General features: G+C 36.9%; 1 pseudogene, besides 1 other annotated feature; it reads left to right on the forward strand.

Annotated features, from left to right (window-relative positions):
- Positions 11,014-11,663: an enhancer, noted in NCBI's record as "OCT4-NANOG-H3K27ac hESC enhancer chr8:95353266-95353915 (GRCh37/hg19 assembly coordinates)". NCBI's record gives its function as "activates a minimal SCP1, AML or CMV promoter by ChIP-STARR-seq in naive H9 embryonic stem cells {active_cell/tissue: H9 hESC(naive)}" and the evidence as "EXISTENCE:reporter gene assay evidence [ECO:0000049][PMID:30033119]".
- On the forward strand, positions 22,897-23,691 carry RPS4XP10 (ribosomal protein S4X pseudogene 10; annotated as a pseudogene).

A 24,646-nucleotide genomic window follows, 5' to 3' on the forward strand; every position in this document is an offset into this window, starting at 1 on the left:
CATAAGGACTCTTAAGAAGTATGCTTTGGTCTTTTGGTATTATCTTCTTGATTGTCATCATATTAGTTCCGCTGGTATGCTATATCTTCTCAAGTCTTAAAAATTTTGTATGCAGCCATTCATTGAGTGTTGAATGCTCTCACTTTGATTAATTCAGCAAGAACATAATTATTCAACTGATGTGACATTGCAACTTATGAATTTTATACTATGAACAAATAAGATTTGTGAATTCCACAGAGACCAAACAAGTCCACCTATGATAGTGACAGAGGGTGGCATCAATGCCCAAAGTTTGGGTCAGTCTCTCAAAATGGAGATGTTGACCAAAAGGAGAGAACTGTTAAATCAAACTAAACTTGGCCTGAGACAAAGCCTCTGTACTTGCATGCTTGAGTCCTTATGTAACAAACTGCAACCTAACTTTGTATGTAAATAAACTGAAAGCCTCATTTAGGAATATTCTTCTGTAACAAATAGCTGTGTCTCAGCCAATCACAGCAGCTTGACTTTAGTCAATCACAGGTGGCCAACTCTTCAAACCATGTTGAAATAAGCAAATGCCAAAGTGTAACCAAGCCAGCTGTTTCTGCACCTCACTTCCATTTTCATACATCACTTTCTTTTTTCTTGTTTTTTTGGTTTTTTTTTTTTTTTGAGACAGAGTCTCGCTCTGTCACCACACTGGAGTGCAGTGGCACGATCTTGGCTCACTGCAACCTCCGCTTCCCAGGGTTCAAACGATTCTCCTGCCTCAGCCTCCCAAGTAGCTGGGATTACAGGCATGTGCCACCACGCCTGGCTAATTTTTGTATTTTTAGTAGAGACGAGGTTTCACCATGTTGGCCAGGCTGGTCTTGAACTCCTGACCTCAGGTAATCTGCCCGCCCTGGCCTCCCAAAGTGCTGGGATTACAGGCGTGAGCCACCTGGCTCGTCACTTTCTTTTTTCTGTCCAAAAATGGTGTATGACCATTTGACAGCCCCAGAGTTTCTCTGAACCTGTTCTAGTTCTGGGGGCTGCCTGGTTCATGAATTGTTCTTTGCCCAATTAAACTATTAAATTTGTCTAAAGTTTTTCTTTTAACACTTATGTCCAAAAATTATCATGACATTTTAACTTTGTTACTTAGAGTTACCCATTTAAAAGCAGTATATATGAATTTTAAAGGTCCAGTGTTTTTATTATACTTATTAGAGTGGGGGAGGGAGGAAAGACAGAAGGTAGAAGAAAAGGAGAGAAGAGGAGAGGAGAGGAGAGGAGAGAAGTAGAGGCGATTGAAATTTTTTAAATCTCAAGAGAATAACAATCAAATCACCACATGCATCCTGCTAACATTTCTACAATGTGTGAAATGTGTGAAACATATCTAACGCCCATTTTTATTAGCGAATGTGGAACAATGCACAGTCTAAACTGAGTTAACAGAGACCAGTTTTCCCCAACAGTAACGCAAAGCTCAGTGTGTCCCTGGCTGGATATCTGATTTGCTGCTGTCTTCACCTGTTGATCTTTTCTGGACCTTGACTCCTCGCAAAGTGATCCTTGGCCCTCAGCCAGGAAGTTGTTTGTAATTATCTATCCTGCTGCTCTCTGCTTGTCCATTCTTTACAGCGGTGTGAAATCATGACAGGATGCCCAGGCCTGTGTTAGGCAGTAGGACATTAACTCAAATTGCCTAAATGGTTAGGGTAGTTACATAAGACCCTCTTCTTAGTGGAATGCTTTTTGTTTAATATTTTAAAAATTTCCTCCATTTCACTATTGGAACTTCTTATTCCCCTGTCTAGCCATACAGACATGTATTTAGGTGCAGTATCTATTGTCTACAATTGCCTAGAATATGGTGGATACCCCCACTCCAATGGGCAGTCCTTGTCCTGATATTCAGGGTTACCCACGCCCTATTAAAGCTGGTTTCTAGACATCCTTATTGTCTGGGAAGTATTCCCTTTCTGTTAGCTGAATAACCATTATTAATAAAACAGACCATTAATGAATCAGCCCTAGTCTTAATTGTTTGGGCAAGTCATGACGGACCAAGTCACTTCTCATACTTGTGACCCAAGGATTCAGTGCCAAGGTGAAAGAAATATTTTCTCTTCTTTGTGGCTTTAGAACCTGCATTAGTCCATTCTCACATTGCTATAAAGAATACCTGAAACTGGGTAGTTAATTAAACTGGGAGGTTTAATTGGCTCATAGTACCGCAGGCTGTACAGGAAGCATGACGCTGGCATCTGCTCTGCTTCTGGAAACTTTCACTTATGGCAGAAGGTGAAAGGGAAGCAAGCACATCTTACATGGCCAGAGGAGGAGCAAGAGAAAGACGGGGGAGATGTCACACACTTTTAAACAACCAAATCTCACAAGAACTCACTATTGTGACAACACCACCAAGGGGGATGGTGTTAAACCATGAGAAGTTGCCCCCATGATCTCCAATCACCTCCCACCAGGCCCCACCTCCAACACTGAGGATTACAATTGAGCATGAGATTTGGTGGGGACACAGATCCAAATCATATCAGAACCAAAGGTTTAGCCAACTAGAATATGAAGTGAACTACTGACAGAGACAAAATTTTACATATGTTTTCAATACCAATCCAATTTTTTTAAATGAAATTTCAAATTGTTATTGCTTACAGGCTTTTATAACTCTTCAACACTTCATTAAGGCTCTTCTTAAGGACCTCCATGTCTCCCTCCCACCCAACCTTACATGGTTTTTTATTCTTCCCAGACATTTCTCTTCTCCTCTGACATCTAGAATACTAAGCCATCTGGCCCACCTATCCAAAGCTACCCCATCGCCAAAGTCCAATTCACATCACACGTCCTATGAAGCTCTCATTGATGTTTGCAGCACACATTGATTTCTCCTTTCTCTTCATATTTGTAATAGTTTCATGGACAGCCCCAGTCAATTTATGCTACTTTGTGCCACTCTCCAATGACACAGGGAAATCTTGGAAGAGTTTAATATTGTGAGCATATTTGCTTTGGCTATTCCACCAAACCCAACATTGAATACCATACTAGGCATTTATGAAGTTACATTCAATCACATATTGGAACTGTGACACTGAGGTTGCTAGTTTTGTTGATTAGAGGAACTGTGCTACCATGCCCAGAGGAAGCTTCATATGAGAAAAGCACAATGTTCCTATAAACAAAACATACCAGATTATTGGGTTATTAATCAAACCTCCCTATGTATTATTAATAGCTACCATTTATTGAAATATCTAATTTTTTTAAAGTATAAGGATAATGTTATAATATTTATCATATTTATTTCAGATTGAATTAGAAATACAATGTTACAGGTTTACTGGAAATCCTCTTTATTCCTACACCCATTCTTCTCCCTCTCTAGGCACTGGCAACTACTTATTAAGAATTTGTGTGTATCCTGTTGATGTTGTTTTTTTGTTTTTGTTTTGTTCTGTTTTTTGAGACTGTTCTGTGTTAGTATCCCATGGATCTACATCTGTTGATTTTTTTCCCCAACAGAATTATAAAACTTTTGAGGGCTTATAATCATAATATTAATAATTATAATATATTAATAATAGCTACCACTTATGAAGTACCTACTGTGTGCCAGGTGTTAGGTATAACATTTGAAATATTATTTAATTTCAGTTAATGCTCATGCAATCTGATGATTTAGGTAATATTTCCATTTTAAAAATGAGAAAACTGAGGCATGAAGAGTTTAAATAGCTTGCCTAGACTCACACAGGTAGACAATGGCTAAGCCAAGAACAAAACCAGGTTACACAGGGCTTGAAACTTATACAAGTTGGGGTAAGCAGGCTCTCTTAAAGAAAAAGATCTCAAGTATACAAGTATACATATACAAAATTAGGTAAGAAAGAGAATATTCAGAATGAGAACAGAAACAACTAATTACTTGAGCCTTAGATATGCAAGCCCCTTTCTTCTAAGAGGGCTTTGGACAATTCCCCTAAAATATTTATATTGAAAACACTCCCTGGTTGCCACCTGGCTTCCATCAAGAACATTATGTAACATGCAAATGAACCTGAAGCAGCATTAGCTCATGATAAGCCAGGCCCTGAGGCTGAAGCAGCATTAGCTCATGGTAAGTTGGCCTCTGAGCAGAGATGGGATTTGGTCTTTTCCAGAGCCCAGATCTCAGGCACCTCTTCCCAAGGGCCTGGTACAGTGTTCAGCACATATTAGGGAGCTGTGCCCCTGTATGCTGTCCACCTTCTTCACTCTCTCTCATGCCCTATGTTAATTCTCTTATAATGTCTAATATTACCTACAGTTATCTTACTTGCATGTTTATTGTCTGTTTCTCCCAAACTCCATGAGATCAGGGACCTTGTCAACCTTTGTTCCTCATCGTATCCTCAACATTTAAACAGTGCCTAAGCCTAATTCACAGTATCAGTGAAGATCTATTGAATAAATGAAATAAATGTTGGCTAAAGGAACACATTAAAATGCATTTGGTTTAAGATAGATCAAAACTTAGGGAATTCATACCAGAAAAAGCTTTAATAACAGAGTTTATAGTATTTGATTGTTTGTCTTGAGGCAGGGTCTTACTCTGTCCACCCAGGCTGGAGTGCAGTGGCAGGATCATAGCTGCAGCCTTGACCTCCTAGGCACACGTTATCCTCTCACCTCAGCCTCCTACATAGCCAAGACTACACAGGCATGCCACCAGGCCCAGCTATTTTTTTTTTTTTTTTTTAACTTTTGTAGAGATGGGCTCTCACTATGTTTCCCAGGCTGGTCTAAAACACTTGGCCTCAAGCGATCTTCCCACCTCAGCCTCCCAAAGTGCTGGGATTACAGGTGTGAGCCACCATGCCCAGCCAGAGTTTACAGTGTTAGAAACAATGAGTTCATGTAATCTTCTTTATTTATTTTTATTTTTTTATTTTTTGAGACAGAGTTTCGCTCTTGTTGCCCAGGCTAGAGTGCAATGACGCAATCTTGGCTCATGGCAACCTCCACCTACTGGATTCAAGTGATTCTCCTGCTTCAGCCTCCCAAGTAGCTGGATTACAGGACTGTGCCACCATGCCCGGCTAATTTTTTGTATTTAGTAGAGATGGGATTTCACCGGTTGGTCAGGCTGGTCTCGAACTCCTGACCTCAGGTGATCCACCCACCTCGCCCTCCCAGTGTAATCTTCTTAAAAGCAAATTTATATTTTGTACAAACTATGCATTATATTTAGCTCATTTTCTTATAAAAACATTCAACATTTCAAACCCCCAGTGCAATGAATGAATAGTTCTTCAGCAAGAGTTATTAACTTTTGTTTATAGCAACCATAATAAGGCTGCAATCTAAAATAAAAATATTTAAGAATTATCTTAATTAGCATGGTAATCAAAAAGACATACCCCACGTGCTTTGGGAATCAACAGTCATCTAAAAAAACAGTAACTTCTTTTTTCCAGTGGTAGTTTCTTTTTTATATTTATAGAAATGTAAATTTTGTCCCTTCATGGATTATTTATCTTAAGAAACCATTGGGAAATCAAAAAGGAGAAATGTTTGTTTCTAGGCTATGAATCATAGGAGAAAATTGTACTAAATCTGTTTTTTTTTTTTCACATTGGCCTACTTGAAAGACTATTTCATTTTTTTTTCTCATTTTACATTTAATGAACCCGATCAAAATCCAAAATAGTACAGTTTTGTTTCATAAAGTTACATAATTGTTTTTGAGGAAAAATATAGACTACATAAAGTGATTGCCTGAGATAAATATTTGAAGTTAAAATATCTTTTATTTTCAGTTCTTCTGTTGAGTACGGCAAAAAAAAAAAAGGTCCTCAAAATAACCATAGTTAATGTTTCATTTGATAATGGTTCACTTCCCTGTTGACTTTCCAAGCATCCATCTTGGAAAGAAGAAACAAGCCTCTGTTTCTGTTTACTTTGGTTAACAAGATTTCAAAATCTTCGTTCAGTCTTCTGTTGAGTTTTAAGAGTATACTTGCAGCATCAATTTATTTATATTGCTATCAAATGTATGGGGTTAATAGAACTGGAACAATTGACTGGCCAGCTGCAAAAAATGTTAGATACCTCATTGTTTACATTAAAAAAAAATCCAGAAGAATCAGAAACTTAAACAGAAAAAAAGAAAGAACAAAAGTGAAAGAAGAAAATATAAGGGACTTCTACTTCTTGCAATAATAGATTAGGTAATTCAACCAACTATCCTGTTTAGAACAAGGAAAGATATTTTAAAACATGTACCTGCCATATATGATACAACTATTCCATTCCGAGGTATTTACCCAAAAGAAATAAAAATATATTTCCACAAAAAGACTTTTACACAAATGTTCATAGAAATTTCATTTGTAAGAGCCCAAACTAGAAACAATCCAAATGCCTATCAACTGGTAAATGGATAAACAAATTGTGGATATAGCTATGCAACAGACTGCTACTCAGTATTAAAAAGCAGGGAACTACTGATATATGCAACAACACAAATCAATCTTAATATAATTATTTTGAGGGAAAGAAGCCATACAAAAAAAGAGTAAACACTGTATGCTTTCATTTATATAAAATTCTAGAAAATGCAAGCTAGTTTATCATAACAGAAGGTAAATCAGTGGTTGCGTGGGGATGGAGACTTGTGATGGGGCAGAGGGTAGGGAAGGAAAGATGACCAAGGGCCATGAGGACACTTTTGGGGGTGGTGGATACGTACATTATTTTGATTGTGGTAATGGTTTCATGGTTAAATACCTGTCAAAACTCATCAAATTGTACAATTTATATATGCACACTGTATGTGGACTACACTTTAATCATTGCCTCAGCAATATATACAATAATGACTTCAATCATATATCTCAACAAAAAAAGTCTACTTGAAAGTTTTGGACAGCCTAAAAAGGCACTGAAAAATGACATAGCCAAGATCCAGGAGAAAAGGAATCCCAGAGAGGTGAACCTGGTATTTGGGGTCATTTCTCCCTTTGAGAAGCCCTTTAAATGTTTACCTTAAAAAGAAGAAATACTGAAAATGAATGGGGAAGGTGTCCAACTTAAAGGCTTCAGAAGAGAACAACAGAACAACCCCAAAGAAGTGTAAAGAATGAGAAAATAAAAATAAGAGGCCAGACACAGTAGCCTGTAATCCCAGCACTTTGGGAGGCCAAGTCAGGAGAATCACTTGAGGCCAGGAGGTCAAGACCAGCCTGGGCAACATAACAGGAATTCATTGCTACAAAGAAAATTTTTTTAATTAGCCAGGAATGGTGGCACCTGTAGTTGCCTGTAGTCCCAGCTACTCAGGAGGCCAAGGTAGCGTTATCACTTGAGCCCAGGATTTTGGGCTTACAAGGAGCCATGATCGCACCACTACACTCCAGCCTGGGTGATAGAGACCTTGTCTCGAAACAAACAAACAAACAAGAACAAAAATTAATGAATCCAAAAACAAGAAATAACTAGCACAACCAACAAAATCAAATGTTGATTTTTTTTAAAAGACTGATAAAATACATTCCAGTAAAATGTATAAAATTTATAAAAGAAGAAAAGTGAAAATAAATGTGCTAGGAATAAAAAAGGGGACATAACTACAGAGAAAATACATATATTAAAATCATAAGAAATAAACAACTTTATGCCATACATTTTAAAATGACAATTTTAGAAAAATGTCACTTATAAGGAGAAGTTTTTTAAAAAAACATAATAAACCAATAACCATGAAAATGTTTGTGTTTAAATAGCAAAGACTTGGAACCAATCCAAATGTCCAACAATGATAGACTGCATTAACAAAATGTGGCACATATACACCATGGAATACTATGCAGCCATAAAAAATGATGAATTCATGTCCTTTGTAGGGACATGGATGAAATTGGAAATCATCATTCTCAGTAAAACTATCACAAGGACAAAAAACCAAACACCGCATGTTCTCACTCATAGGTGGGAATTGAACAATGAGAACACATGGACACAGGAAGGGGAACATCACACTCTGGGGACTGTCGTGGGGTAGGGGGAGTGGGGAGGGATAGCATTAGGAGATATACCTAATGCTAAATGACGAGTTAATGGGTGCAGCACACCAGCATGGCACATGTATACATATGTAACTAACCTGCACATTGTGCACATGTACCCTAAAACTTAAAGTATAATAATAATTTTAAAAAAAAGAAAAAAAAAGGTTAAAAAAAGAAAATGTTTGTGTTTAAAAATCCACCTCCTTGTACACACACACACAGGTGTGCACAGCATGCACACAGGTACCACAAATACCAAATCAAAAGCATTTCACAGAAAAGTTCTAGCAAATACTGAAGGAACAGAATCTCAATCTTATGATCCAGAGCATTAAAAAAAAAAATCCATCAATTTAATGAAGCTAATAGTTCATTTAATAAAACTAATGTTAACTATTATACCAAAACTAAATGAGAGTATGTAAAAGGAAGATTATAGGCCAATATCACTTATGAACATAAATGTGAAAGTCATAACTAAATAAAATGTTTCTTAAAATCTGAGTATATAAAAAATTCCTCTTGTCTAAACTGCATTTCTCTGAGAAATAGAAATTAGAACAGTATATTAGAAAAAAAATGTAATTTACCATATTAACAAAGCAAATAAAGTTATGCGATTCAACAGTTGGAGAAAATACATTTGATATAACTCAAAACCCATTCATAAATTTTTTAATTGTAGCAAAATAATAATAGAAAGGAATGTCCTTAATCTGAGAATGGGAACCAGCCAAATTCCTAAAGCAAACATTTTATTTAATGGTAAATGTTCTACACATTCCCTTTAAAGTAGGAAAAGTAAAGGATGTTCATTATCACTGAGCAGTGCAGAAAAAAAAAAGAAAAGAAAAGAAAAAAATTACATAAGAGTTTCAAATAAATAACAGAATTGTTATCATTAATAGATGGTATGATTGTGAACACAGAAAATCCGGGAAAATTTACAGACAAACTCTCAGAGTTCAACAAGTTATTGGAATACAAGACCAATAGGCAAAACTCAATTATTTTTCCATACACCTGGAACAAACAAGTAGCAATAGTAAATTTTAATATCATGCTTTCACAAATGATAAATACTATATAGTACCAAGGACTAAATCTATAATTTATCTGCAAATTTTTTTGTGGAAAAAGTCACAAAACCTTGCTGAAGGACAGTACAGAAGATCTGAATAAATGGAGATGTTTTGCTGTTCACAGATGAGAAGACTCAATATTGTTAAGAGATCAAGACTCTCAAAGTAAATCTATAAAGGCAGTGTAAATCCACTCAAACTACTTGTGCAACTTGACAAGCTGATTCTCAAATTCATATGCGAAAAAAAAAGCAAAAAATTGCCAAAGGCTGTTGAAGAAGAACATATTTGGATATTAAGCTACAGTGATTTAATACAGCATAGTAGTGGTGCAGGGATAGCCAAATATGTCAATGAGAGATAACAGCCAAGAAACTGAAGAATAATATAAAAAACTTGATAGTTGTCAGACATTGTACTAAATATCATGGGGAAAGACTCAACTAGCCAGTAAATTATATTGTAATAAGTGGTTATTCATAAGGAAAAAAGTAAAATTAGAATTCTATTAAACATAATGAAACATATGCTTTCATTTCATTAAGCATAAATGAAAATAAATTTCAGATAAAAATCAAAAGAGAAAAGCAAAACATTAAGTCTTTTAGACTAAAATATAGAAAAGTATATTTATGAATTTAGGGTAAGGAAGAAAGTTTTAACCAAAACATAAATGAAAACCGTAAGGAAAGGCCAAATTTTAAAACCCTGTACCAAAAGACACTGTTAAAAAATGAAAATACTAGTCACTTGAAAGAAGATAGTTGCCATGAAACTGACAAAAGATTAGTATCCAGAATATATTAAAAACATATACCAAAAAAATAAGAGCAGGACAAAGTCCAATGTTTAAAGTAGATAATTCTTAGCAGAAAAAGTCTGAACAGTAAATAAAAATATGACTATATACTCAGTTGTGCTTATAGTTAAGAGAATGCAAGAAAAAAATTAAGGTACAATTCCACACTTATATAAATTGGCAGAAACCACTTTGGAGAGTAATTTTCCCATAAACATGGGCATACCATATGGCCAAGCAATTCTACTTCTAGAGAAAGTTTTGCCCATGTGTACAGAGACCTGCATAAGAATAAATTTGGGAGGATTGTTTGTAAAAGCAAAAAAATGTAAAATAACCTAAATGTCCATCAACAGAAGAAAAAAAATGAATAAATTGTGGTTCATACAATTGAATAATGTTCAATAAATGTTCATACAATTGAATGAAAAATTAGAGCTGCAGGCCAGGCGCGGTGGCTCACACCTGTAATCCCAACACTTTGGGAGGCCGAGGTGGGTGGATCACGAGGTCAGGAGATTGAGATCATCCTGGCCAACATGGTACCCTGTCTCCACTAAAAATACAAAAATTAGCTGGGCATGTTGGTGCATGCCTGTAATCCTAGCTACTCAGGGGGCTGAGGCAGGAGAATCACTTGAACCAGGGAGTCGGAGGTTGCAGTGAGCCGAGACCGTGCCACTGCACTCCAGCCTGGGCAACAGAGTGAGACAGGAGACTCCATTTCAAAAAAAAAAAAAAAAAGAAAAGAAAAATTAGAGCTACAAGTGTCAGCATGGATACTTTTAAAAATATATGTAGTGTGGGAGCAGGTTGAAAGATTACAGAATTATAACACTTATATAAAGTTTTACAGCCTGCAAAACAATATTATAAAAACTTTATGGACAGAAACATATACAGTAATAGGATAAAAACATGCATGGGCAGCCAGCCGCCCCGTCCGGGAGGAGGGGGCCAGCCCCTGCCCGGCCAACCGCCCAGTCCAGGAGGTGGGGGGCAGCCCCCGCCCGGCCAGCCGCCCCGTCCGGGAGGTGGGGGGCAGCCCCCGCCTGGCCGCCCCCGCCTGGCCACCGCCCCGTCTGGGAGGTGGGGGGCGCCTCTGCCCGGCCGCCCCGTCTGGGAAGTGAGGAGCCCCTCTGCCCGGCCGCCACCCCATCTGGGAGGTGTACCCAACAGCTCATTGAGAATGGGCCATGATGACGATGGCGGTTTTGTCGAATAGAAAAGGGGGAAATGTGGGGAAAAGAAAGAGAGATCAGATTGTTACTGTGTCTGTGTAGAAAGAAGTAGACATAAGAGACTCCATTTTGTTCTGTACTAAGAAAAATTCTTCTGCCTTGAGATGCTGTTAATCTATAACCTTACCCCCAACCCCCTGCTCTCTGAAACATGTGCTGTGTTCACTCAGGGTTAAATGGATTAAGGGCGGTGCAAGATGTGCTTTGTTAAACAGATGCTTGAAGGCAGCATGCTCGTTAAGAGTCATCACCACTCCCTAATCTCAAGTACCCAGGGACAAAAACACTGCGGAAGGCGGCAGGGTCCTCTGCCTAGGAAAACCAGAGACCTTTGTTCACATGTTTATCTGCTGACCTTCCCTCCACTATTGTCCTATGACCCTGCCAAATCCCCCTCTCCGAGAAACACCCAAGAATGATCAATAAATACTAAAAAAATTAAAAAAAAAAAAAAAACATTCATGGGGATGATAAATACCAAATTTGGAACATTAATGATTCCTGGGTAGAGAAATGAAATCCGAGTGAGGTTCACCATATTTGTTAGCTTTTATTTCTTAATGAAAGAAGATATGAAACAAACACAAGATGTTATGACTGTGTAAAGTTGTGTGATAGGTACACAGGTAGTGTAGGGGAGGCAAAATTTTATCACTACTTGCAGGGTTCTCCTGCTGAGCCTGAGAATTAAATTAACATAAGACAGATCAACAGGAGAAAGCATTCAATTTTTAAATTTTATTTTATTTTATTTTATTTTGAGACAGGATCTCGCTCTGATGCTCAGGCTGGAGTGCAGTAGCATGATCATGGCTTACTGCGGCCTCAGCCTTCCAACTCAGCATGCCACCCCCTGCCCCCAGGCCACCCAGTAGCTGGGACTACAGGCACAGGCCACCACGCCCAGCTCAAATTTATTTAATATAAATTTTACATGGCACTGGAGCCTTCATGAAGAATAAAGACTCAAAGAAGCAGTTAGGTAGAGTTCAATGAACACTTACATACTGAACTGGACAAAAAATAGTAAATTATGAAACTGGGACAAGGCAAAGGGGCTTGGGCAGGGTAGTTAATTGGGTAGAGAAGCCCATCCTTGATGATAAGAATATTTTCCTTCTTATGTGGAGAGAACAACTTTCACATAGGAATTGTGTCTCCTCCATTAAAGAAACAGAAGGAAGGGCTGGGTGTGTTGGTTCACGCCTATAATCTCAACACTTTGGGAGCCCAAGGCAGGAGGATCCCTTGAGGCCAGGAGTTTGAGACCAGCATGGTCCACATAGCACAACCCCATCTCTACAAAGAATAAAAATTAAAAAATTCCAGCTACTCGGGAGGCTGAGGTTGGAGGGTCGCTTGATCCCAGGAATTTGAGGCTGCAGTGAGCTATGATCGCACCACTGCACTCCAGCCTGGGTGACAGAGCAGACCCCTTCTCTAAAGAAAAGTTGAGTGGGGAAGGTTAGAGTGATCTTCTTACATCTGCTGTTTTTCATGTGCCTTTAGCTCAAAATGGTCAAGGTACCAGGGCAACATATTTTGGGGTGGCAGATTGTTAATTCCTTCAGTAGTTACTATGACATTGCACTATATACTTTTTTGTATGTTTAATGTATTTCATAATTTCAAAAAGAGAGAAACTTGCATAAACAGATACTGAATACCTGTCTGGCAATGAAGTAGTGTGGGGAAATAGACAATGACCCAAGTGATCAAGTCCTCAGTGAATGAGGATGTATGAACTAGGAAGAGTAGAGGGCAGCAACAAAGAGAGTTATCTGGCACCATCGTCTAATGGCATGTGCTTCACAGGGTCTGGATGGAAAAAGGAGCAGGCAGCCTGGTATCAACATTAAATTTAAACATCATTCTTTTCATTTACAGGAGAAGTTTCTGAAGCCCAGGAACCATCAAAAGTCTACATAGGCACAAGTTAATCAACTTTGCTAGCTTGGGGCCCAAATAAAAAGATCTGTGGGCCCCAGATCTTTGCTCATGGCCACAGGGCATGGCAGTGCTCCTAAAATTGTGGTTGATGGTGCAGCAGCCTGAGATTTCCAACCTGAGTCAGTGGTGAAGGAGCACATTGTGGCAATGCTGTGAGGAGAAAATTGGATTCCATTCTTCTGGGTTCATTCCAAGGGAGACACGGAAATCCTCTCAGAGGGAATGAACCTGAGCCAATCTGACTATCAGAACACTTGGGCTTTTCAGTAGAGGCAAGTGAAGCTCTGAGTCCCAGAAGGAGAGCTCATGTCCAGTGCAGCACCCCCTAAAAATATAAATTTGGTATTGGCTAGCAACATCTTGCCAGGACTTGTTTATATTTCTAGACTTCTGTGAATGTTATCCACATTATAAAGTATGTTCCAAACATCAGCTAAAATCACATTTTTTATTTAATAGAGGTAGACGATACCAATGCTGACCTATACAGAAAATCCTGGAACACCTGACTTCTAAGAAGTAACTAAAAACAAACAAATAAATCCTAAGACACAAGGTAACCTCATTGGCACTTGGAAGGAAAGTAGAAGTTTTAAGGCTTTTTGTAGTATTTTATGGGTCTGTACAGCTGGCAGGCCTACCAACAGCCAAAGAGACAATTATAGGGTAATTATAGGGTAAGACAATTACCCTGAGAATTATGGCATCTCAGGGTAAAAAGAAACTTACCTCACTGTACACAAAAAACACTTATCAAAGATGTAATGACTCTCAGAATCAGTGATATTGTTTTACTCAAGATTTGGGAAAGATGTAGGCACAATATTAAGTCTAAAGATTATGTCAGCTCAAAGGATCAAACAAAACATTATAACATGGTTTCATCCACTATGATTTGGGAGAAAGGTTGATGTGGGCCATTTTTAGAAAATCTATAATTAAATAGCTGCAAACAAAGATTTCTTGATATAATTCAGAACACTTGGTGGGGCTGAGCTGTTAAAGATGTACAAAGATTTATTGAAGCAGAAAGAAGAAAATTAAGGGGTGAGGGACAACAGTGCAGGATAGAGGGGGACTGGAGTAAGAAACTGTCCTAGCCAGGAAGAAACAACCATGCTTATTAGTAAAAATTAAAATTCAGTATGGAAAACAGAATCCAAGAAAATACACAAACACATAATGCATTTTGGGGTGATAAGATCATCTTTTCAAATGTACTCTTACTACATTTTTACTACCATTAAAATTGACTAAAATAGAGAATAAGAAGCCAAAAAATAATGTCAATGATTCTGTTAGCTTCACAGCTGAAATTCACTGCGCTCCAGCCTGGCGACAGAGTGAGACTCCGTCTCAAGAAAAGAAAAAAAAAAGAGCCAAAGACCAAGAACGGGTACAAATTATAAGTCAAACAAGTAAGGCCTTCCACTCATGTATCAAGGCTTATTATAAAGTCATGCTAATTAAAAGAGTATAGTCAGAGTTAGACTAATAAACCAATATTTTAAAAATACAAAATGTGGAACTTATCTCTCCAACTGTGGAAAACTGAAATATGACAGCGGTAGCATTGCATTCCAGTCTGGGGGAAGGGATACATTTATTCAGTAAATATTATTAGGGCAATTCATTATTCAAGCAGGAAAAAATCCAGATTCCCATTTTATGTCACTTGGAAAAATAAATTCCAGGTAAATTAAAGAACTAAGTATGAAATATAAAACTTAAAAGTTTTCAAAGAAACTATAGAATAATCTCTTTGTGACTCCAGGGCAAGAAAAGATTTATTCAATAAATGAACAAATACATAAACAAAAAATCCCATACTCTAAAAATATATACAAACAAATGACTGTATTAAAATTTAAGACTTTTATACATAAAAAACAGACCTCTGGAAGAATATATAATATCTGTATTAGTAACCAAATACAAAATATTAAATTAATATTAAATAAATATTAACATTAAATATTAAAATTAACATAAAAAGTTTAAATTTATATATCAATCAGAGAAAGAAAAAACAACAAGGAAATGGATAACATAAATGAACAGGCAATTCACAGAAAAGGAAATCCAAATGACAAATAACACAGGAAAATATACTTATCCTAATTAGTAATCAGGAAAATTCAAAAATAAGGTTTCCTTTCATACCCATCAGACTGGAAACTGCAAAGTTTCTCAGAGCTAAGTGTTGGACTCATGTGGAGCAACAACAGTTCTCATATCTTTCTGGGATGCACCTACTTCACAGAGCAATTTGGCAACATTTGATAAAAATGAAGATGCACAGTCAATTCACTTCTGATAGGTACTAGTATTTTCAGTGCAGCATTGTATTTAATAGCAGAAGAAAAGGAAACAATCTAAATGTCCACCAACAAGAGAATGAATAAATGAATTGTGGTTTATTAACCCAATGTAAAAATGAAAGAACTAGAGCTGGGCCAGGTGCAGTGGCTCACAACTGTAATCCCAGCACTTCGGGAGGCCAAGGTGGGTAGATCACGAGGTCAGGAGTTCAAGACCAGCCTAGCCAAGATGATGAAACCCCATCTCTACTAAAAATACAAAAATTAGCCAGGTGTGGTGGTGGGTGCCTGGAATCCCAGCTACTCAGGAGGCTGAGGCAGAGAATTACTTGAATCCAGGAGGCAGAGGTTGCGGTGAGCCAAGATCAGGACATTGCACTCCAGCCTGGGCAACAGAGAGAGACTTCGTCTCAAAATAAAAAATAAAAAAAAAGAACCAGAGCTACATATGTCAGCATGGGTAAATCCCTTTCACTGAGTGAAAAAGAAGTGGGAAGGAACACAAGGAAAGGAAAGACATTGGCCAGTGGATACAAAGTTATAGTTAGATAGGAGAAAGAAGTTCTGGTATTCTATTGCATGGCAGGAGGACTATAGTTAATAATAATGTACATTTCAAAACAGCTACAAGAGAGGATTTTAAATGTTCTCACCACAAAGAAGTGATAAACATTTGAGGTAATGGATATGTGAACTACCCTGATTTGATCCTTCCCTAATGTATCAAAATATCACATTATACCCTATAAATATACATAATTATTATTTGTCAAATAAAAATTTATTTAAAAGACAATTTGCAAACATATATATGTATTACTTATTTTTATATACACATTTACCATGAAATTTAAAAATAAAAGCAAATAGTTATAGATAGTAATTATATTACATAAATGTGCAATAAAAGCATATGAACATTTATAAAGCTGTTAAACATTAAACCTCTGACAGTAATTGACTCAGAGAAGAAAAAAGGGTAATAGGACTGGAGATAAATACAGAGCAGGCTTCAACTCTATCTGTATCGTTTTCTTTCTCTCCAAAAATCTATAATAAATATGGCAAAATGTTAACATTTGAAAGATATGAGTAGTGGCTATAATTTATTCAACAAATACTCACTAGAATGTGTCAAGCACTGTTCCAGGCTGGGGATACAGCAATGACTAGGACATCAAAGTCTCCAACCACACAAAGCTCACATTGTATTGGGAAGATGGACCACATAAAAATAAAACAAATTTCTATGATAGATAGTTAAGTGCTGTGAAGAAAAATAAAGCAAAAAAAAAAAAAAAGTGATTGAGGGGGAGTATTCTGGAAAAATTGCAGAGTAGGGAGCACCAGAAATTTGTCTTCCCACCTAGACAACAATTATACTGGCAGAATGTGTCTGGTTTAACCATAGCTGAGAGCTGTGTACGTGTTGCTGGAGCAGCTTACACAGCTTGCTGGAGCCAGAATGGGCAAAACAAGCGTTGTTCTCCAAATACTAGGGATCTGTGTTCAGATTACTGATAGCTGCTTCTGATCACAGATTTGCAGACAAACGGCAGGTGACCATTGCTATTTCACTCCTTCTCATTGTTGCAAGCCCCTCCCCCTCCAGCTGAGGTGACTTTCAATGGATTTAAAAGGCCAGCACCATTTTTTTCTTTCTTCACTTTTCTTTTTTGTCTTTTTTTGGATCCAGACTTTAAAGACTATGACTTTCAAAAACAACTGCATCAGAAAAATGAGAAAGTGACCACACATGTCCAGGGAAGGGTACAAGCTCAGAGAAGACCTGAGAAAACCTTAAGTTTAATATTCAGGATGATCCTTGGTAAAGAGACAACCTACCACAATAAAAAAATAAATAAATCAACAATAACAGAAACAGCAAACCCTGGCAAAAGGAGTTTTCCAGAGAATCTGATTTCCAGAGTTACCACATTATTAGATTCAAATGTCCAGTTTTCAACAAAAATATCAAAAGGAATACAAAGAAACAGGAAAGTTTAGCACATTAAAAGAAAAAAAATACATCAACAGAAACTGTTCCTGAAAAAGACCTGATGGAAGAGCTACTAGACAATGATTAAAACGATTGTCTCAAAGATGCCCAAAAAACTAAAGGAAGATGTACAGAAAGTCAAAAAAATGATGATAAACAAAATGGAAATATCAGTAGAGACAGAAAACCTAAAAAGATACCAAAAAGAATTGCTGAAGCTGAAAAGTACAATAACTGTAATTAAAAGTTCGCTAAAGGAATTCAAAGGCAGATTTGAGCATGCAGAAAAAAGAATCAGTGAACTTGAAGACAGGACAATGGAAATTATCTAGTCTGAGAAACAGAAAGAAAAAAAGGTTGAAGAAAAGTGAACAGAGCCAAAGGGACATGTTGGATACCATCAAGTGGATTAATATACACATTGTCAGAATTAAACAAGAAGAAAGAGAAAAAGGGGCAAAGAGAATATTTGGAGAAATAATGGCTGAAAACTTCCCAAATTTGATAAAAGGTATGAATATAAACATCCAATAAGCTCAATTAATTCCAAGAAAGATGATTTCAAGACAGAGAGAATCTTGAAAGCAGCAAAAGTAACTCATCACATAAAATGGATTCTTAATAAGACTCTCAGCAGATTTCTCATCTGTGACTTTGGAGGCCGGAGGTAGTGGGCCAATATAGTCAAAGTGCTAAAAGAAAACAACCTGTTAATCAAGAATCCTATATCCAGCAAAATTGTCCTTTAAAAAAGTTAGAAATTATTAGGTTGGTGCAAAAGTAATTGCAGTTGTTATTCTTCAAAAGAATTGTTATTCTTCAAAAAGAATAACAATTACTTTTAAAATGGCAAAAACCACAATTACTTTTGCACCAACCTAATAAGCTATTCCTAGATAAATAAAAGTTATGAGAGTTAGTTACTGCTAGATCTGCCATGCAAGCAATTAAATAGTTCTATACAGTAAATCAAAGACATATGAAGAAATAAATATCTCAACTAAGGTAAATACACAGGCAATCAGAAAAGCTAGCATTTTTGTAACAATGGTTTGTAACTTTTTTTCTGTATTATTTAAGAGACTAAAGCATTTAAAAGAATTATTAGTTTATGTTTTGGGGCACAAAATGTATAAGAATGTAATTTTGTAACATCAACAACTGAAAGGGGCAAGAATGGAGCTATAAAGAAGCAGAGTTTTTATGTGTTATTGAAGTTAAACTAGTAAAAATTCAAAATAGCGTTATAACTTTAGTATGTTAAATGTCATCCCCATGGTAACCACAAAGAAAATAGCTATAGATTATACACAAAAGGACATTAGAAAGGAACTCAAAATTTTTACTACTAAAAAAACAAGTAATTACAAAAGAAGACAGCAATGACAGAAATGAGAGACAAAAATGCTACAGGAAAATTGAAAACAAGTAGCAAAATTACAGAAGTAATTAATAATAATTACTTTAAATGTAAATGTATTAAACTCTCCAGTCAAAATACAGATATTGGCAGAATGGATCAAAACACATGCTCCAAATATACGCTATCAATAAGAGACTCACTTTCAATCCAAAGGCACAAATAAGTGGAAAGCAAAAGTATGGAAAAAGATAGTTTATGCAAATAATTACCAAAGAGAGCAGAGGGGGCTATACTGATGTCAGGCAAAAGAGACTTTAAGTCAAAAAAGATTACGAGAGAGAAATATATACATGCATGTATATATTCAAAAAGCTTCAATACAATTATAAGCATTTACACACCTAATAACAGACCATCAAAATATGAAGCAAAAGCTCATAGAATTAAAGAGAGAAATAGACAGTTCTACAATAATAGTTGGAACTTCAATATTCTACTTTTAATATTGAATAGAACAATCACGCAGAAGATAAGGAAATAGAGGACTTAGACAACACAAAAAACCAACCAATCTATTGAATATATATATATATAATATATATATAAATACACACTGTATTTGTCAATTCTCACATTGCTATAAAGAATGACCTGAGACTGGGTAGTTTATAAAGAAAAGAGGTTTAATTGGTTCACGGTTTCACAGGCTATACAGGAAGCATGGCTGGGGAGGCCTTGAGGAACTTACAATCATGGCAGAAGGCAAAGGGGAAGCAGGCATGTCTTACATGGCTGGAGCAGGAGGAAGAGTGAAGGGGTAGGTGCTACCCACTTTTAAAAACAACCAGATCTCATAAGAACTCGTTTACTCTCATGAGAACAGCAAAGGGGAAGTCAACACCATGATCCAATCACATCCCACCAGGCCCCTCCTCCAGCACTGGTGATTACAATTCAACATGAGATTTGGGCGGGGAAATAAATCCAAACCATATCACACACACTATATATATGTTGTATTATATATAATATTATATTATCTATTAGATCAATAAACCAATAGATCTAACAGACATATGCAAAATATTCTATGTAACAACAGCATACGCATTCTTCTCAAGTGCACGTAGGACATTTTCCAGAATAGACCATATATTAGGCCACAAATTAAGTCTTATATTTAAAAAGATAGACATCATACGAAGTATCTACTCTGATGACAGCGAGAAGTTAGAAATCAATAACATAAATTCATAAATTTGTGGAAATTAAACAACACACTCTTAAATCACCAATGGGTCAAAGAAGAAATAACAAGGGAAATTAGAAAATATTTACAGGAGAAACAAAATTTAAAAAAAAATACCAAAACTTATGGGATGCAATGACAGCAGTGCTAAGGGAGAAATTTATAGCTTTAAACACTTACATTAAAAAACAAGAAACATCTCAAATCAACAACCTAACTTTACAAATTAAAGAACTAGAGGCCGGGTGCGGTGGCTCATGCCTGTAATCTCAGCACTTTCAAAGGCCAAGGCAGGTGGATCACGAGGTCAGGAGTTCAAGACCAGCCTGGTCAAGATGGTGAAACCCCATCTCTACTAAAAATACAAAAATTAGCTGGGCGTGGTGGCGGGCACCTGTAATCCCAGCTACTCAGGAGGCTGAGGCAGGAGAATCACTTGAACCTGGGAGGCAGAGGTTGCAGTGAGCCGAGATCGCGCCATTGCACTCTAGCCTGGGCGACAGAGCAAGAGTCCGTCTCAAAAAATAAAATAGAACAAACTAAACCCAAAGCTAGCAGAAGGAAGAAAATAATAAAGATCAAAGCAGAGATAAATAGAGAAGAGAAAAACAAAAGAGAAAAATCAATGAAACCAAAAGTTGGTTCTTCAAAAAGATGAACAAAAATGACAAATCTTTAGCCAAACAGACTAAGAAAAAAAAAGAGAGAAGACTCAAATTATAAAAATCAGAAATGTAAGGACATTACTACTGATTCTATAGAAATTTTAAAAGACTGAAAGAGAATACCATGAACAATTGTACACCAATAAATTGAATAACCTATATGAAATGGACAAACTCCTAGAAACACAAAACATACCAAGACTAAATCATGAATAAATGGAAAATCTGAATAGACCCATAACTAGTAAGGAGACAATCAGTAATCAAAAATCTCCCAACAAAGTACAGCCCTGGACCTGATGGCTTCAGGGGTGTATTCTATCAAACATTTAAAGAAGTAAAACCAATCCTTCTCAAATCTTTAATTTTAAAAAATTTTAAAAATTTTTAAATATTAAAAAATTTTCTTTAATTTTTACAGAAAGATTTGAGAAGGATCTTTAATTTTAATCTAAAAATTAAAAAGAAAGGAACACTTCCTAATTCAGTCTTTGAGGTCAGCATTACTCTGATGCCAAAAACCAGACAAAGACACTATAAGAAAACTACAAACCAATATCCCTTATGAACACTGATATAAAAATATTCAACAAAATATTAGCAAACCAAATTCAGCAGCATCTTAAAAGTATTATACGACATGACTCAGTGGAATTTATTCTTGGAATACAAGAATGGTTCAACATACAAATATTAGTCAATGTAATATAACACATTAACAGAATGAAGGAAAAACAACACATGATTATCTCAATTGATGCAGAAAAAGCATTTGACAAAATTCAGCACCCTTTCACAATTAAAAACACGCACACACACACTGAAGAAAACTAGGAACAGATGGAAACTATGTCAACATAATAAAAACCATATATGAAAAACCTGCAATGAATATCATATTCAATGACGAAAGACTAAAATCTTTTCCTTTAAGAAAACAAAGAAGCTAAGCACAGTGGCTCATGCCTGTAATCCCAGCATTTTGGGAGGCTGAGGCAGGCAGATCGCAAGGTCAGGAGAACGAGACCAGCCTGGCCAACATGGTGAAACCGCGTCTCTACTAAAAATACAAATATTAGCTGGGTGTGTTGGCGGATGCCTGTAATTCCAGCTACTCAAGAGGCTGAGGCAGGAGAATTGCTTGAACCCAGGAGGGGAGGTTGCAGTGAGCCAAGATCGCGCCATTGCTCTCCAGCATGGGTGACAGAGCGAGACTCCATCTCAAAAAAAAAAAAAAAAGAAAACAAAGAAAGGATGCTTCCTTTCACCACATTTATTCAACATAGTAACATAGTACTGGAGTTCTAGCTAGACAATTAGGTAAAGAGAGAGAGATCAAAATTGGGAAAAAAGAAGTAAAATGATCTCTGTTCCCAGATGATATGATTTTATCTGTAGAAAATCCTAAAGATTCCACAAAAACACTCTTAGAACTAATAAGTGAATTTAACAAAGTAGCAGGAAACAAAATCAACAGACAAAAATCAGTTGCATTTCTCTATACTAACAATGAACTAGTTAGTTCCTTTTGGAAAAGGAAATTACAAAAACAATTCTACTTAAAACTGCATCAAAAAGAGTAAAATACTTATGAATCAACCAAGGAGGTAAAAAACTTAAGCAACAAAAAATATAAAACATTGCTAAAATAAATTAAAGGAGACATAATAGAAACACACCTCATAGTCATGGATTAGAAGACTTAATAAGATGTCACAATACTATCCAAAGTGATCTACAGATCCAGTGCAATCCCTATTATCCAATGACTTTTTTGGCAGAAATAGAAAAACCCATCCAGGGACGTATTTTCCTCTATCCTCCCTAGGCTGGGGCTGTCTCAGGTCTTGGGACTCTGGCAGGGGACTGCCGGGCAGAGGCAAAGGGACTGCAGCCTCTGTGGTTGGCCAGGCCAGGCTCCAGGGAGAAAAGCAAATGCTGGGCTAGGGTAGGGGCTGGGTGGGGGCAGATCTGGTGCCGCTGGCAGGAAGCACTTTATCTCTGACCTGGCCAAACATCCTCCAACCCCAAGAGAAATGGCTTTTCCTCCCAGACCAGAGCTACAGGTGGGCCAGGAAAAATGGACTGCAAGTCCAGGACAGGTGAACACTGGGTCTGCCTGCCAGAGAAAGGTTTTCTTCATCATTGTCTTTTTGGCACGGCCTGACTTTACACTGTGTGGGTGGTCCCAAGAAGCACCTGAAGTGAGCAGCAGCCCCAAAGCATTGGATGCTGGATGAATTAACCGGTATGTTTGCTCCTTGTACATCCACTGGTCCCTACAAGCTGAGAGTCTCTCCTCATCATTTTCCTAAGGAACTGACTTAAGTATACCCTGACAGGAGATGAAGAAAAGAAGATCTGCATGCAGCGGTTCATTAAGATTAATGGCAAGGTCTGAACTGATATAACCTACCCTTCTGGTTTCATGAATGTCATCAGCATTGACAAGACCAGAGAGCATTTCCATCTAATCTATGACACTAAGGGTCACTTCGCTGTTCATCCTATTACACCCCAGAAGACAAAGTACAAGTTGTGCAAAGTGAGAAAAACCTTTGTGAGCACAAAAGGAATCCCTCATCTGGTGACTCATGACGCTTTCACCGTCTGCTACCCTGATTCCCTCATCAAGGTGAATGACCCCATTTAGACTGACTTGTAGACTGGCAAGATTACTGATTTCCTCAAGTTTGACACTGGTAGCGTACGTATGGTTACTGGAGGTGCTAATCTGAGACAAACTGGTGTGATCACCAACAGAGAAAAGACATCTTGGATCTTTTGATGTGGTTCATGTGAAAGATGCCAATGGCAACAGCTTTATCACCAGGCTCTCCAACATTTTTGACATTGGCAAGGGCAGCCACTGCTGAAGACAGAGACAAGAGACTGGCAGCCAAATCAGTGGGTAAAATGTTCTCTAAGTTACATGTTAGAAAGGTCTTTGTACTTAATTAAAGATAATACAGCATGAAAAAAAAGAAAGAAAGAAAACCCCACCCTAAAATTCAAATAGAAGCTCAAGAGTCCTGAATGGTCAAAACAATATCAAAAAAAGAACAAATCTGGGAGACTCACACTTCCTGATTTCAACATTTACTACAAAGCTACAGTAATTATAACATGTGGTGATGACACAGGATAGATGTATAGATCAGTGGACTAGAATTAAGAGTCCAAAAATAAACTTTCACAGATATAGTAAATTGATTTTTAATTGGGTACCAAGGCCATTCAATGGGTAAAGAATAATCTCTTCAACAAATAGTGCTGAGATAACTGGATATCCACATACAAATGAAGGAAGTTGGACCCTTACCTTACATTACTTACAAAAAGTAACTCAAAATGTATCAAATACCTAAGTGTAAGACCTAAGATTATAAAACTTTTAGAAGGGCAAAAGCTTCATGACACTGGATTTCACAATGATTTCTTGGATATAACACCAAAGGCACAGGCAACAAAAGAAAAAAAATAGACAAATTGGACTTAAAGAAAAATTTTGAACTTTGTGCATGAAAAGAGTAAAAAAGGCAACCTACAGAATGAGAGGAAATACTTGCAAACTATACATCTGACAAGGATTAATATCCAGAATATATAAAGAACTCCTAAAGCTCAACAACAAAAGATCCAATTAAAAAACGGGCAACGAACTTGAATAGACATTTCTCCAACAAGGATATATAAACGGCCAATAAGCATATGAAAAGATGCTCAACATCACTAATCATTAGAGAAATGCACATCAAAACTACAATGATATACTACTTCACACCCATTAGAATGGCTACTATTTAAAAAAAAACAAAACAGAAAATAAGAAGTGTTGGTGAGGATGTAGAGAAATTGGAACCCTTGTGCACTGTTAGTAAGAATGTAAAATGGTACAGCCACTGTGAAAAACAGCACAGAAGTTCCTCAAG

The sequence above is a fragment of the Homo sapiens genome, chromosome 8, assembly GCF_000001405.40.
Source record: "Homo sapiens chromosome 8, GRCh38.p14 Primary Assembly".
Taxonomy (NCBI): domain Eukaryota; kingdom Metazoa; phylum Chordata; class Mammalia; order Primates; family Hominidae; genus Homo; species Homo sapiens.